The sequence below is a fragment of the Homo sapiens genome, chromosome 3 (genome assembly GCF_000001405.40).
Source record: "Homo sapiens chromosome 3, GRCh38.p14 Primary Assembly".
Lineage (NCBI taxonomy): Eukaryota > Metazoa > Chordata > Mammalia > Primates > Hominidae > Homo > Homo sapiens.
Window position 1 is genome coordinate 97,933,949 of NC_000003.12, and position 16,327 is coordinate 97,950,275.

Below are 16,327 nucleotides of genomic sequence, written 5' to 3' on the forward strand. Positions count from 1 at the left end.
CCCTTTGGAAGAGAAGGGCTACCATATGGTCACAGCATGTGTCATAGAGTAGGTCAATCAAATGACTTTACCCAGTTGAACTTTCTTTTCAGAAGAAATTTCAATATCCCAGCAACTTTGGTTAAGACAATTTCCTGCTTAAGGCAAGTGACTGCTGGCAAGACCAAGTTCGATGTTGTTTTTTGATTTAATAGCCATGTATTCTAGAGCAGTTCCTCCAGGGTACTCACTTGCCTGTGGACTACACTGGTTGGCCTAGCCTGCCTACCAGTATTGTTGTTCATTTAGGTTATCAGTCAGTCAGGGTAGACCCAGGGGCCTGTGCTTTTACAAATTAGAAAGCTGCCTTTAAGAAAAAATTTAAAATTATGATAGAAATATTAGATATCAATGTGAATACTTAGGACAGAAATGGTGAGAAGCCTGTAAGTGAGGGGCCTTGAAGTTGAAGCTCTGTTTGCTTCCTGGAAAATCTGCCTCTGAATCCAGTTCTGAAGAGTCCGGCATATAAACCAGCCCCTACTCCTGCACTGTTAGTGTTCTGGTAGCAAAAGTCAACTAAAAAAACACACATAGCTCTTGACGGTTAATAAAAAAATGGCTTTAAAAGTTTTTCTATGGCTTTGAAATTCCGTGATAATCAACTGTGCTGGTTTAAATATCTGGGGATAAAGAGAAAGCCAATAATATAAGTGGAGGTGAAAATTAAGCAAACTATTATAATAAATGGCTTTTATATTATACACTTGTATAAATAGCTTAAGTTTTCTTCTGCAAAACATTTTAAATGGTTTGATGTTTATTCAGACAAATTGATTTATTCTATCTAAGCATAAGATTCCAATATATTATTTACCAATTAACTAAATTTTACATCCCTGTGATATAGGTCTTTCACAACATTTTAATTCATTTCTTCCCATTTCTGAGTGAAATTGATACTTGACTCACTTCTGAAAATTTCTCACTTTCTTATTTCATTTTTTTCTGGAACACTGGTGCCATTTTATCTTGACATTCTTATTTCTTCTCTTTGGCTTATTAGCCACCTACTCTCACTATTCCAAATTCTCTTTAAGAGAATTGGAACATGGAGTAAGGAACAGTGAAGGCTGCCTAAGGATTTTCCTAGGTTACAGAATACTACTTAATGTACAGCCAGCTTCCCTTAGTTACAAGTTGGGTTTGTTTTAATCCCCATGCTATGCCACATCTTTGATCTGTGATGATGACAGCCATGCTTAAATGCACCATCCCACACAGTTTTCCAACTGTGGAATTCATTTAAATCAATATATAATTAGGTACATTTTCCTAAAATCTTACCTAGATTTTATAACTGAAACTTCCCTGACAGTTTAAAGAATCTGCAGCGGGAGAGGCAGCTAAGCCTGTCCGTGGTCATGCTGACCTGCCTCTCCACCAGTCTGATTGATTAGATTTGTGTAGGAAGGAGGGGTCAAGAATGGGCCATCCATCTCATTCATCTCTCCATAATTTGGTCAAGTCTGATCTTGGTTGTGGGGAGCAAGGAGGACTTTTCTTAGTGGTGGTCAGGTTGAGTCAGTCATCCCTACCCAAGCTTTCATAGCTGTAATACATCAAGCTTTCCTCAGCTCTCCCCTTCTCCCCACAACTTATGCTCAAGTTGGTATCTTTTCCTGCATTACCTGAAGAACAAGTCCCTAAGGAATATTGCACTTTGTGAATTTTAGAAGTTTTTAATCTGGAAAATCGAGGGGCTGAAGTTGCTGCCATAGCAGCACAAGCAACCCTCTGTAGCTTGTGTCCTAAGCCCTGGATGACCCTGTTCCTGAGCTCTGGTCCATCTGATAAGCAGACTACCTTGCCTGCTGCTGGTGCTCTTTGCTTCATCCACAAGGCTTTACCTCCCTTGGTGCAAGCCAGGACAACCCCTGCCACAATTCCAGGTGCTTTATCAAAATAAAGCAAGGCAGCCATCTCATCCTGCACACACTTTCTTAAAGCACTGTGTACACTGACCTTGAGTCCTGCTGAGAATTTCAGGTGCTCTTAGTGACTCCAGCACATTCTCTTTAGTCATCAAGCTTAGTAATCACCTAAGGTGGTGCTTGGCAGACTTTTTCTGTAAAGGGCCAGATAGTCTTTTCAGTTTGTGGGTCATCTGTCTGTGTCATGACTACTGAAGTTGCTATGGTAGTGCAAGAGCAGCCGTAGGCAATCCTTAAAGCAATGGGCATGACTGTGTTCCATTAAATAAGTCTTGAGACTCCAGTGTACTTTTACACACTTTAATGCTGCCAAAGTTGAAGGCAAGGGTTTCGGGGAGGATTCTCAAAGGAGCTGGGCCTTGAAGAGGGTGATGGAGAACTTCTGTGAACAATTCTAAGAAGTCTTGGTGGCTTTGGGGAAGCTGTGGAGGGAGGAGTGGAAGAAGATATGTCTGGAGAGTTCACTGGAGCCACACTTAGAGGCCCTGAAGGACATGTGATGGTGACTCTAGGGGCAGGAGTGTGATTTTCTGCTGGTTAATAGGAGGTTATGGTCTGCCTTTAAATGTTATAATGCTATGACAATGTTATCAAAGAAATATAGGATTTCAGAGATGGAGGAAACCTTGCATTCATTTTGGAAGAAAGGAAACCAGCATTGTAACTGGAACCCAAATCTTCTGAGTCTAGGCCAGTGGGTTTTCTCCTATACCTCCCTGATTTTTGTTAGGAAAAAATGTGCAATTTTAAAAGTCTGCAAACCTAGAAGTTTATGAACCCTATAAGGCAAAGTGCAGATACTTTTGATGAGGGATTTTTTTTTGTTTTGAAGTACACTACTTTTTTCTTTCTTGTTCTCATAGATGGATAGCTTATGAAGGATCCAATTTCTTGGGAAGACAAATCCTACTCAGGCCTAATGAGATCCCAAACTGGACAGCATTCAGCAGATGGAAAACAATTGGTTCCCTCCGTCCTATGAAGCAGGTAAGGAGAAAAGAACCATAAGATTCCAAATAGCTTGCTTTTGTGGTAGAAATGTCATAAACCACAGCATCTGAAATAATGATCATTTAATTTAGTTTGCCATTTACATAGTAGGGGGAGTGAATTAGGATGCGGATATCTTGTACATTTTAACCAATTTGTAAGATTGTATCTAAAGTCAACATTGGATTTCAGTTTTCAGTCCAAAGCCTCATTGGCCATGTTCACTTTTCGTGGAAAACTAAGATACTGTAAGTTCTGTGGCAAACCTTGGTAACAGGAATGAACTTTGATACTGTACTAGTTTTAATTTCTAAGCATTTGGATATTCCCCTCCCTACTTATATAATACTCAGGATGGATCCTGGCAATTTAATTAAAATAAGTATTTATTGCACACCTACTGCTTGTCAGTCTTCTGTTCAAAAGCTTCCCACTGCACTTAGAATACAATCTACCCGCTACCCCACCTTGCTTCTCCAACCTCATCTTTCACATGGTTGTGTCACAGGCATCAAAGTACAGAGTGGTTTCCCACTAAGACTTTTAACATGGGCTGCACCCTCTGTATCGTGTTCTTCCCTCATTCTTTATTTGACTAGTCATCCCTGTAAATTCTACTTAAGTGTCAGGTCCTCAAGAATGCCTCCCCCACCTTCTCTCCCAATCTACATTAGATCATAAAAGACCTGGGGGTTCTTTTTCTACAAAAACACTGTATGCAGTTTATAACCCTAGCGTTATGGTTGGATCGGGGTCTCTCCCACTCTATAGAAAACCCTGTGAAGTCAAGGACTGTCCATGTTTTGCTCATTGCTCTACCCCTAGTGCCTGAAACAATATCTGGAATATTGTAGGAGCTGAGGAACTATTTATTTAATGAAGGAATGAATATATCAGTGGATGGATCAATGATATTATGCAAAGTATAATGGAAAATATAAAGATAGATGCGATTTCTGCCAATATTATTAAAGCTTACATTTTTGTTGGGTAAAACATGTCCAACTCAAAGCAGTAACATAAAATGCAAAACAATGCATAATTATCCAAAAGCCACAGGCAGTCCCTGGTTCAGAGAAAGGAAGTATCAACATGTGTAGGAGTAGTGGGGAGGTTTCATGGAAGGTGGAAAACCCAAGTGAAACTGTCAGGGGTGTGATGGCCCGTGGATATGGCATTAGTACCTCTCTCTAATCTCTTTAGAACACTTTCTTGCTTGATTCCAACAACAGTCCTTTGAGGTAGGAATTATTATCCCCATTTTCTAGTTGGAATAATAAGGCTCTGAGAGAAGAATAAGGCTCCATCTGGAAAATGGGGATAATGATTCCTACCTGTGACAATAAAAGCACATCAAGTGTCAGAACCAGGATTTGGACCCAAATCTACTATGCTTTAAAATCTGTGTTCTTAAGCAACCACACTCTACTTTCCATCAGCCTAAGATCAGCACTTAGAGAGTACCACCTATTTCAGGCACTGAGCTGAATATAGCCTAGTGGATCTAAATGCTGAGGCTCTGATGTTCTGACCTGACACTTATTTAACCCTTACTTAAGTGTTAAATAAATGGTAGCCAATAAAATATTAACCTAATTGGTCTTCTCTCACCCTCTTCACATGCACACATGCACACATGCACACACACCATTCTCATCCCACCACTCATGAGTTCTGTTGGTTCAAATCCTGGCTCTGCCATTTGTAAGCAGTGCAGCTTGGTGAGTCACTTCATTTCTTGGCACCTTAGGTTTCTCACTGGTGAAGCAGTGATCACATTGCTTACATCTCATTGCTGTGACGGTTGAATAAGATAATGTATATGAACAGTCTGATATGGCTCTGGCTCATATTACTATGGTAATACACTTATTTTGAAAATTTTTTATTATTATTATTATTCACAATGTCCCTTGAGATGCTCTTTTGAGGGATACTGAAACATTAATGGCTTTCCTGGCACAGAGTGTGTGGTAGACGATCTCATGACCTTTACATCTTGCTTATTCCCCACTCCTATCATGTGGAACAGGGAGTAAGCCCACTGAAAAGCCATCAGAAAAAGCAAAGTAGAGATAGGAATTCAGTTTAGCTTTTACTAACTACATAATAATGCTGACCCTCTGTTGTTAGAGACTTTAGTAGCCAAGTTCAACAATGAAAATATGTTCCTCATTTTTTAATGGTGGTTCCTTGTTGGGGAAGAAGGATGTCCCTGCCTATTGTTCAAGATTGTCTGGTAAAGGATAGAACAGCCACCTCTACTTTTACAAGGAAGTTTTTTTTAACAAGAATAGTATGCTATTTTCTTTCACTGTGCGTTAGGAGCTACCTGATTCCTATTCTGATTAAACATTTAATTTCAAAATAATATTTTAATAGATTATTTTTCCTTTTGTTTATTTAGGTCACAGTTTTGAAATCCAACAAAGGAATTCTGAGTTTCTAAAATAGTAGTTTGTGGGTCACATTTAAATTTGTGGTAAGGCTGTTGGTACTGCTTTGGTTCATATTCTTGTTTAGAAATTCAGGACTAATTAAAATGTGATCCTCTTTGAGGCTGGGAATTAGGAAGTCACTAAGGTACTTATAATGTATATCAGTGTTTTTAAGTATAATTACAGAGCAGTCAGACTACAAATGTGTAATAAGGGTAATTAGTACCTTGCCTGAGTTAATTGATTAAAACTGTGATGTCTGGTCCTAAAGTAATTGGAACTCTGTCATCTGTGAAGGTCACGCCTGTTTTCTTATATGTACAAGGTAATGAAAATGTAATAAAGATATACTGAAGCCTCAAGAATTAATAATTGCAGTAGATCCGGCTGAATTATAGACATTTAAGTACACTACTGTTGCATTGTTAATGTTGGAAGTAGGGATTTGAAACATTTAAAACATTTTGCCAAGTAGAGAGCTTGTTCGCCTGGTTTAAATGGCCAGATAATTTGTCCTTCTATTGGCTTAAGTGCTGAGAATGTGTATTTCCTTAGGAAGGTTTAATTACCAAAATTCAGTTAGCTTCACGTTGATCTATCAAGTTTCAAAAACAGTAGACTGTTCATTGGTTCTCTTACCATATGACCTATTGCATTTACCTAAGCACTTATGTTTCTTAGCATGAAAGTGCTCTCTTAAGAGACCATTTGTTATTACTCAGCCAGGGTTCTAATTGGGATGGCAATGAGAAGAACCAAAGGTGGGGATGTTGGGTGTCATGTTGGGTGTCATTTATTACATTAAGGCTGGAGGCCTAAGTCATAGGGCTGAAATAATGGCTTCTGTTGTGCTTCCATTATGTGCCCTGCTCTTTCATTGTCCTACACTGCCACCTTTGGAATTCGTCTCTTATTCCCTGTGCCTAAGAGCAACTAGTGCATTTCAACATAGGTCTGAGAGCATCCTGGTTAAGAGGAACCTGGCTTCTTTACATCTGTGTTCACCTTATTTGTAAAACTAGGGTATAATTGTACTTTCTTAATAGGTTTTTGTGGTTATTCTGACAAATAACATAATGGCACAGAATGCATTTAGCATGCTGCTTACACATACTACGTGTTCAATAAATATTAGCTATTCTCCTTAGAGGCAAGTCCCAGGTTTAATATTTTAAAACTTTTTGTATGTATCTTAAAACTTCCAGGCCAAGGGGATGAAGTCCTTTGTTACACAATTTTTGAGTACCTAAGTATAGTCATTAAACATACATGGTCTCTACTTTTGAAGAAATAAAGGTCTTATATAAACAAATAATCACAGCTACTAGTGCCCTCAGCTATCTGGGTTTTTCAAGACCTCCCAGGGCCAACTTATGGCATTTAGTCATAGCTCCACAGTATGTCTTTCTGAAGTTTTTAGAAAATCCTTGTAGGTAATAACTCCCCTACCTCCCTCAGCACAGCTGGGACACACTATTGAATGAAACTCATCAAGTCCCTAATTCTTTACCACCCCACTCCTCACCACATGGAATTCTAGTGAAAGAAACTTTTACTTCATGCTGTTCAAAAGGGCACTTTTCACAAAGTGTAATAGAGACTGTACAATTTAAGCTTTATGCTCCACGGCCTAAGGATTTACCATATTAATCTATGCAGATTTACTAAAGGGAATAAGAGTGAAACTGATATAACTAAGATAGTTACCTCTCACTTTCCCTCCCAGCTTTCCTCCTCTGGAAGGATTCATTTCCAGATTCAAAAGTTTATTTCTAAATGGCTGTTTCTCCTGTCATAGCCTGCAGTGTACATCAGAATAAAGAACCGTGCCCAGGGTGAATATCTGACAGTCACTGGAAGTCTAGCAGACACCAGGGCAACATCTGTGTGCATTTCTCCCTATAGTGGAAAGAATACTCAGATCTGGTACTACTGCCGAGGACTCTTTAAATCCAAGGTAAGCAATCCCACTGATACAGTATGCCACTTTCTGGTCTGTTTTTTATTTTGAAAACTAGAATCCTGTCAAATCAACTGGCATGATAAAACAATGCAACTTCTTAGAAACAGGTGTTGATTATAAAAATACTGCCATATATTACTAAAACATTTATATAAAATTAACTTAATTTTTTGAACAAGAAAATCCAGTTTCAATTTTTAAGTAAACACAAAGGTTATCACATATTATGGATATACCTAAGTGATTTTTTACAACCAATGGTATAAGTCACCAGATCTAAGTTGGACAATGTGCTTTTGTAAGATGTTCCTTACTTGATGGCCCAGATAAAATCAGCCATCTCTGTGATTCTAAATATGTTGAAACCTTTCATTTTCAAAGTATACAAAGAAGCAGTAGAAGAAGAAAGCTGTTATTGGAAGAAGCTTAGAAAATAAAATTTAGGGTTCTTTTCTATGACCCTTCCGTTATGTTTAATGCATTGGGAATAGAACACTACTTTAAAAACATTCAAACTGTGTTTTATTGTATCACCAATGGATTATCTACTTTTTCTCATGCTTCAAAAATGAAAAACTTTTAAAAGTAATTATTGTCTGGATATCTTTAGCCCATCATGCAATGTTTTCATAAGAAAACCAAGCTCAACATAATACGTTTTAAGCAAACAGGGATTTAACATTTAATTCCAATTCACCAAATCTTTATTGAACATCTGTTGTCAGATGTAGACATCCTATTAAAAACAAGTACCTCTATTTCAGTTGGTTTATTTCTGTACCATCTCCTACCCACAGCCGTAAAGAAGACATTAAAAAAGGCTTACTGAAATTATACTATATAGTATTTTTTTAGATAAGACACACACACACTTCATGTCTATGACTTGTTTACCTAAGATAAAAGGGACCTAATTCAACTTACTTTAGCAAACATACTACTGCCAATTAATCATTTCTTAACCCTTTTAGGCCAGTGATACATGTCTTGATGTGATTGGTGGCCGGGACACACCTGGAGCTAAAGTAGCTCTATGGACTGAACATGGGCAATTCAGGCAGAAGTGGAGACTGAATAAAAATGGAACTATCAGCTCTTATCTCAGTGATCAACTTGTCCTTGATGTTAAAGGTGGGCCTTTGATGATACCCAATGTTGTGTCCCTGGATATTAGTTTCAGTTCCAAATCTCCTCATTTTGGGTAAAGGACATCCTTATGTATAAGAGAAATGTTAAGTCATTTAAAATTATGCTTGAAGAAAATTAAGATAGGCAGTTTTACAAACAAAACAATTAGCAGAAAAAGCCAAACAACAAAGCTTAGGGTTTTTGTTCATTAGTACAGTTGTAAAACTTTCATTTGCTACGTGAACTCAGAACAGTTCTAAATTTCAAGCACCATAAACCATGAAATGAATGTCATCTGTTTCTTAGAAACATCTCTAGCTTTTTGCCAGGAATTGCCATGGTCCTTAAAAACCCTCAGGTAGAATTTATGGTAGGTATCAATTAACCTTGTTTTTGAATTCAGCAAGGTCAGGGCCAATATTATTCATGGCTGTTGCTTTAATTGGGTTAGTCACAGTTTTGTTGGTGTAGAAACAAAAACACAGTACCTGACATTCAGCCAGAGTTCTCTCAAGAGCACTTTGTTCTAAAGAATCACATTAAGGCACGCCACTTATACAATCATGTATTATACCTTTTAGTATTTCAATTTGAGTCATAATAAGGTCCAATTTGAGGTGAATAATGGCTAAGCCTGTTCAAACTCAGCTTCCCATTTCAGACTTCTTTGTAAATGACACATTCATCCACCGAAATGGTGAGCTGAACAGAAGCTTGTGAAAATTGTGAAATTGCTAAGCACCTGCCTGAACAAATAATCTTTTCTTTTGGAATTTCTATTTTAGGAGGAAATTATTGTGACAAGACTCATGTAATTGTAAATCAGCCCCTGGAGGGAGAAGAAACACAGAAATGGGACATTGAAATATTGTGAGAGAATCAACATCCCTAGAAAGATCCCTAGAAAGAGCAAAGAAGGAAACACATCTGTCATTGTCTTGTGGACGTGGAAAGGAAGCTACTGTCCTCACACTCCTGGATCACTGAGCAGAATGAACATTTTCTCCAGCCTCTGAGACTATCGCTCTTAACCATGGAAAAGCTCAAAATATTCTTGCCATTACTCAGTGTTCCTATAAAGAAAATATTATGATATCTTGGAAAGGTTCTATTCCTGATCTCCAGCTGTGGTGAGCAAGTTTCCTGAAGTGTTTATTTTCTCTCATATCCACCAAACGTGAATCCTGTTCCTGATGGCCCGTTATTGGACACTGGTGATGCTATTATCCTGTATTATTTATTAATATCCTACCTAGATGCTTGTATGAGTACAAAGCATAAAGAAACAGATTTCTATAGGTCAAGTCATACTTTTGCAAACAGATGAGTAATTTTTTAGCAACACCTGAAAATATACTAAACTTTCCTAGATAAACTTTAAGGTTTCTATACTGAGGCTTTTATAATGAACGCACCTCGTTAAGTATTTATACTTGTAACTAACCCCAGGCAGGGACCTCAGCTTTGTTAGGAATAAGGCACAAGAAGTATTTTCTGTAGCTATTGTTTCCTCAGTCCTTCAAACTAAAAAAGTACAAATAAATAACCTATGGCCAAACTTGCACTGTTACGTGTTAACCAAGACATCCCTTTAGGTGACAAGACTCTATAACAGTGGTTACCTGTCTCCATGTTGACACTTCATCCTAGATTTAAGGAGAGGCATCAATTTTTTTTTTTTTTTGCCTCAAGAGAAATTTCAAATATCCAAATTAAAACACAGTAGCATTTGAACCTTGACCTTACCATCTCTTTAAGTAAACGTGGAGTTGATTTCTCTACTAAATAACAGAAACCTCAGTTTTTCACTCCCATTGTAAGTAACTTTTATTTAAGTAAGTAAAATCAGGTAGGAAATCACCTTTGACTTAGCTTCCAGTAGTCATTACCACCTTTTACTGCACAATTCACAAGCATGTTTTCCTGGTGAATTGGACTGAAAATTACATTTTGACAACTTTTTTTCCTTTTATCCCCAACTTTTGCCAGAAAGCAGAAAAATGCTCTATTTTTATAAAGAAAGATTAAATTCTCCAATGATATTTTAAAAAATATCAACCTACATGCACTTTAGAATGTAAAATAACAATGACTATTTTAAACTCGAAGACCCACTATTTTGAGTATTTTTTATAGACTTTAAATACTGGGTTTTTTTCCTCCTTCAATCTCAGGCTTTTCTCCATCTTTTAAGCAGCCTCTGTAACTCCCTTTTGTCCATAGGTGTTGCGTGCCTCTCATCTGTGGGGAAGTATTATTTAATAAAATTTATGTTACAGGATAACTTTATTTTAATGGGCATGGGCTTGTCTATACACAAAGGTATGTATATTTTCATTATAAAAAACCAGTTTAAAATTTTTTCTTATTTTAATTGTTTGAAATTTTTCTAGAGCCAAAGAAGCTCTTTAAAGAAGTTGTTTCTTCCAAAGAACAAAGCCAGGTTAATGACATTCAATTCTAAATGATACATTGGAATTGTGCCTTTTCTACCACACTGGATTAAATAAACTTGTCAAAATATGGTTTTGTCATTTTCTGAGACACTTGGTAATTTGCTGTTCTTTCTTTCATGTGCCCGTTAGTACATTTGGCCAACTGACCACCTGTAACAGGGAGGTCTCATGTTTGTTAGTAGATACGCAGGTAAGGAAACTTGAATTCATCCTCTCCTCGGCTCAGGTCTTTGCTTTTCTTTTAATATATGCATATAAAATAGTAGGCATTTGATTCTGCAAAGGCACTAGACTACTTGAATTAAACATTCTGTCCAGAGGGATAATACCAGGCTTTCCTTTTCCTCATCTGTAGTAAGTTTCAGGTCCTTGACAGAAATAGCTGGACTATTCCAAATTTGCTTCAGTGCATCCAAATGTGACAAAGGGAAGCGAAGTCCATGAAACTGAAAGGATAAATTTATTTGTCAAAATATATGTATACTACTTATGTCATTGAAGTAGCATTTTCCTGTAAATTTATTCTCCATACATCATTATTTTTGATACCCCTCATGAGTATTTTAGACACACTACAATTAGATAACATAAAAGATGCCAACTTCTATATAAAAGGCATCCTAATTTATGTAGTAAGTGATATTAGTAATTTGAAATGTTTTACATTATACCATTCCTATAAGGCTACAGGTCCCAGCTAGTATGTCTTAAAACTGGTGTGCATGTATCACAGAAATGTCTGACTTAATCATCCCCATGCAGGAGCTCTGTGAGTAGTGCAAAATGGTTAAGTCCACAGTGCAGCCATAAAAAGCATATTACCTGTAAATCAAAAATAATCAATTCTTCCCAACCACCACCCAAGTCACAGGATAGGCATTTGTTTTCAGTTGAAACAAACCTCTGTTTCCTCCTCATTTCCCATCATGTGTGTCTCTCTACTATTCTTTAAGGAATGATAGATGTACACCATCTTTTCTTGAGCTTCATCCTTTGGGGAAAAAATAAATGCATTAGGCCATCAACAACACAACACTGAAGGTGTCAGTACTAGGAAGGTTTTCCAATAGGTCAACACCAAAAAAAATTTCAAAAGCCTTGGTGCTCAAGTGAAATTTATTGAATACTGTAAAGAATCCTTTTGGCAAAAAGTGACGGGTGTGTGCATCCACACAATGTCTATACTTCATTAGTCACCACAGGTTACTATTTGTATGTGGCAATTAATGGGCATTCTAAGTTGTTAAAACAGCTGGAGTGCTACCTGGAAGAGCATCTTCAGGATTTAATGAAAAAGCAGTGATTTATGTATCAACTTATCAATGAAATCCTCAGTTTTTTTAATCATACCTGCACTATCTTTTTTGAATAAAAAAATCTGACATTTCTAGGTATAAACTGACAATTTATAATCATGAAGTCATTAACTCCTGAGAAATACCAGCTGTGTGATCGATAAAAAACTCCATTTCAATTACACTACCCTCCCAAATGGTCCCTATCTCCCTTCACTCCCCATGTTACACAGTGCAGTTTATTGTCTCTTCCAGAGCCTTTAGTCATTCTTTGTCACCTCTTAGATAAGGGCAAAAAAATCTTAGCCTAGCGTACAATGTCTCAAACTGACTGGTTATCAGAATCACTATTTTTTTTTTAGACAGGGATGTAGGAATGTGTACTTTTGAGGATGTATATATATATATATATATATCTATTCATGTATATTCATATATATATTCCAACTCTGGCCCTGACGGCTGGAACAATCTGGTTATCGAGACATGTTGAGTGCCCCTCTCATCCCCCTTGATCATTCATGGGATAGCTCCTTAGAGAGCTGATTAGGAGGAATGAGGTGGAGCCATATGGTATGAGATCGTTCCAAGGTCTTTAGGACTGTACAGGGAGCTCTATCAAAACATAAATCCAAAGGCTCCAAGACCAGATGAAACCCAGGAATTTATAATTTTAAAAAGCTTTCCAATTGACTCCATGATCAGTTAGCCAGTTTGGGGAATCACTGGGCTAGGAAGCAAAATTACAGAATATATACTTTGTTCTCCATAATCTACAGGATAGAGTTTAAGGAGATGCAACAATATCCACAAAACCACATAGAAATATAGATCTGCACAGTGTGGAGGACTGGGGCTGAGAAACTCAGGAATGAGGTCTGTGGCTGTCCAAGCAAGAACAGTAAGGCCCGAAGTAGGATGAGAAGCAAAGACCAGACATTAATCACCACATAAAGGGGATGAAGGAAGGTTCTGTGAGGATGAGGGCAAGAAAATATGGAATTGGAACTGTGAGATTTGGTCATCATCTGACCTGAAGAAATGGCATTAAACTGAATGCAGGTGGATTCCTAAAGAAGGGCAGAGACCAGTGGTTAATCTAATAACCTGAGGCCTCTGATGAAAAACACCCTGAGAAGACAGGAAATCTCCTCCTCTTGGATACTCACAGATTGATCTTGATCCGGCAGTACTGTGAGGACAATGTGGTCTTTAAACTGCAGTCTCACTACACTGTCCAGCCTCGGTAACTTTCCACCTAGAAAACCCCAAAGAGAGAAAGCCGACCTTCAAAAAAGGAAACAGGCAGATTCAAACTTGCTTATACATACACATAGGAAACACATTTACTAACAATTTACAGGTGAATCCAAACATGGCATACACTCCAACTGAAGAATTTGCTTACCCCAACATTGTACTGATATTATAGTTCACATCATTATGCAGCTCATTCTTACAGTGAAGACAGACATAGATAAATAATGTAAGTTTATAAGTACAATAAATAGACAAAAATAATACCATCGAAGTACAGTGGCTATCATAGCACATAAGGCTGTGGTGCTTTCTGCACAGAACACTCACTCCTCCAGGTTCTGTCCTCTACAAGCTTCTCGCTCAACATATGGACTCTGGAAGTACTACCTGAGTTCAAAATTGCACTACTCCACCAATTATTAGGTGTGTGACCCTGGTCAATTATTCAGTCTATGTAAGTCAAGAATAGTATCCTATAAAAGCCATCTAATAAAGTCCACAGAAAATTTTTTTTTTCCAAATTGGATTTAACTTAGTGGAACAATACCCAATAAAAACAGACTAGCCTTACAGGGTCATCTGCGTGGGGAAGGAGTCGTGAGGGATCATCACTTTATTGAGTATAATGCCTAAGATAAGGAAAACACTGAAGTAGTCTGGGCCATAAGCTGGTGCATAAGCAAACTGTTCTGCTAAAGATTAAACCATGTGCTTGTAAAACATTTGCTATTTTGAATAGATACAATCAAAAACAAATTCTAAGCTTCCTCCAAAGACTATGATAAAAATGTATATAGAATCAGTGTTGGAAGGGACCTTATAGATTATCTATCTCAGTGGTTCTCTCTTGGTCATAATTAAGAGTTTTATTAAAGTTAGTAAAAAATACTCTTTTCACTCAACCCTGAGAAAGAACAGCAGCCAAAAAGCTGGCCTGGCACTCACAGCTAGGTCTTTGTGTTCTCCTGTTGAACACAGGCAATTCCACAGAATGCTAACATCAGAGATCACTGTCACCATGATAGGTCAAAACAAAACACCACCACTCCGTACATACTCATGTCTGGACTCAGGCAAGGCAAGAACATATTCCAAACCACAACACTGACCGAACATCCCCCTACTCTGGCTAATGAGTGACCACTTCCGCTTTACCATTGATAACTTCAGCCTCATACATTCCTCCTGCCTACCAGATAACATTTAGGAGACTTAATCATAGAATCCCTTCCATTTCCTGACAGCATCCAATCCAGAGCAAAGCCCTGCTTCCTTGAACCCTCTCCAAAATCACCTAACATACACCTGAGTCCTATAAGTCTTTTCTAACACCGTTTTACTGAGATGCCCTGCAGTTCTCAATGGTGTGTGGTCTTCCCACTGCAACAAGTCAATAAATCCAATTTCGTCTGAATTCAGGAGTATGTTCTTGGTGGTCTTTGCTATAGGATACTGACATCATCCATCTGGAAGTCATCAATGACATCATCCATCCAAAAGTATGTTATATCATTTGCAGCCTAAATCTGTCATAAATTAGGCACCTGTGCCTTGGAGAAGGTTGATGATAATCTTGGACATTTCTTGAATCTCACTGGCTGATGGTAACAATTTTACCCATGCTATGATTTGGATGTTTGTCCCATCCAAATCTCATGTTCAAATTTGATCCCCAGTGTGGAGGTGCAGCCTAAGGGGAGGTGTTTGGGTCACATTGTGGGGAGCAGATCCCTCATGAATAGATAATTCCCTGGGGTTGGGGGCGGTGAGTGACTTCTTGTTCCATTAGTTCCCATGACAGCTGGTGTTAAAAAGAGCCTGGCACTTCTCCTCGCTCTTGCTTCCTCTCTCACCATGTGTTCTGCAAATGCCAGCTCCCTTTCCCCTTCCACTGTGAGTAGCCTGAGGTTTTCTCCAAATGCAGATACCAGCACCATGCTTCTTGTACAGCCTGCAGACCATGAGCCAAATAAACTTCTTTTCTATATAAATTACCCAGCCTCAGGTATTCCTTTAAGCAACACAAATAAAGACAACCCAACCCTGACTTAATTCCAACAAGATTATTTCAATGTTCAAATTTTGAAAACTTCCTGAAGACTATGAATACCAGAGTACCTATAAATATACATATTTCTCACCCAAAAGGACAGGGCTCTTATTTCCCATCAGGGTGGGATACAAGTTCTTTCCAAATGACTTCTAAGATACAGGTTGCTAAAGGTTGAGTGCAGCACATCTCGTCTGCCCATATTCACTAAGGATGGATGTGGTCCACATTAACACGAAAGCACTTCATACTTTCCATCTGTTCAAAAAGGAGCCTACCCAGAAAAACCGTAAACATCCTGCATTAGCCTCTGACCACCCAGAAGAAAACAGCAAGCTCCACCTGGTGTTGACAGCTCTGCCCCATCTCCCGCAGAGTAAGGGGGGAGTCTGTGCATAATAAAATCCTTCTTCATGTCTGAGGAAAGCAGTTCTTTGGTGCCCTCCAGCCGGTCTGCAAGTGTCCTCAGGAAGCCACTTAATCGTCTTGTAGCAACAGTTGTGGATTCCACCTGCTAGGAACACAGAAGTGAGTCCTGGCCCAGATGCCAGCAGAACTTACTGCCCAGCTCAGTCTCCACAGTAGACTGCAAAACTGCCAGCCACCGGGTATAGACATTAATCCATGTCATTCCAAAGGGGAAGGGACAACCTGAGCCCCTAAGAATGATATCTCATCATTTCCTTATAAACACTGTTAATTCTAAGCTGCCTATTGTTTGCAAAAAATTTTCAGAATTTTGCCTAGAAATAGAGATCCTTGGAAATATGGTAC

General features: G+C 38.2%; 2 protein-coding genes across 10 annotated transcripts in view; one reads left to right on the forward strand and one right to left on the reverse strand.

The window, feature by feature from the left end:
• Window positions 1-11,036, forward strand: part of CRYBG3 (crystallin beta-gamma domain containing 3) — a 122,974-nt gene extending 111,938 nt beyond the window's left edge. For both annotated transcript variants that reach the window (NM_153605.4, XM_005247117.5), the window contains 4 exons: window positions 2,837-2,960; window positions 7,200-7,358; window positions 8,336-8,495; window positions 9,278-11,036. In NM_153605.4, the coding sequence (NP_705833.3) occupies window positions 2,837-2,960; window positions 7,200-7,358; window positions 8,336-8,495; window positions 9,278-9,366 (532 nt within the window). In that variant the 3' untranslated portion in view covers window positions 9,367-11,036. The remainder of the gene's footprint in view (window positions 1-2,836; window positions 2,961-7,199; window positions 7,359-8,335; window positions 8,496-9,277) is intronic.
• RIOX2 (ribosomal oxygenase 2) overlaps window positions 7,870-16,327 on the reverse strand; it is a 30,614-nt gene continuing 22,156 nt past the window's right edge. For 4 of the 8 annotated variants that reach the window (NM_153182.4, NM_001042533.3, XM_005247838.5 and 1 more), the window contains 4 exons: window positions 15,896-16,067; window positions 13,413-13,501; window positions 11,850-11,939; window positions 7,870-11,394 (listed from right to left, as the gene is read on the reverse strand). In NM_153182.4, coding sequence (NP_694822.2) covers window positions 11,236-11,394; window positions 11,850-11,939; window positions 13,413-13,501; window positions 15,896-16,067 — 510 coding nt within the window. In that variant the 3' untranslated portion in view covers window positions 7,870-11,235. Of the gene's footprint in view, window positions 11,395-11,849; window positions 11,940-13,412; window positions 13,502-15,895; window positions 16,068-16,327 lie in introns of those variants that run through there. The other 4 variants (NM_001261829.2, NM_032778.6, XM_047449085.1 and 1 more) reach the window with 2 other exon arrangements.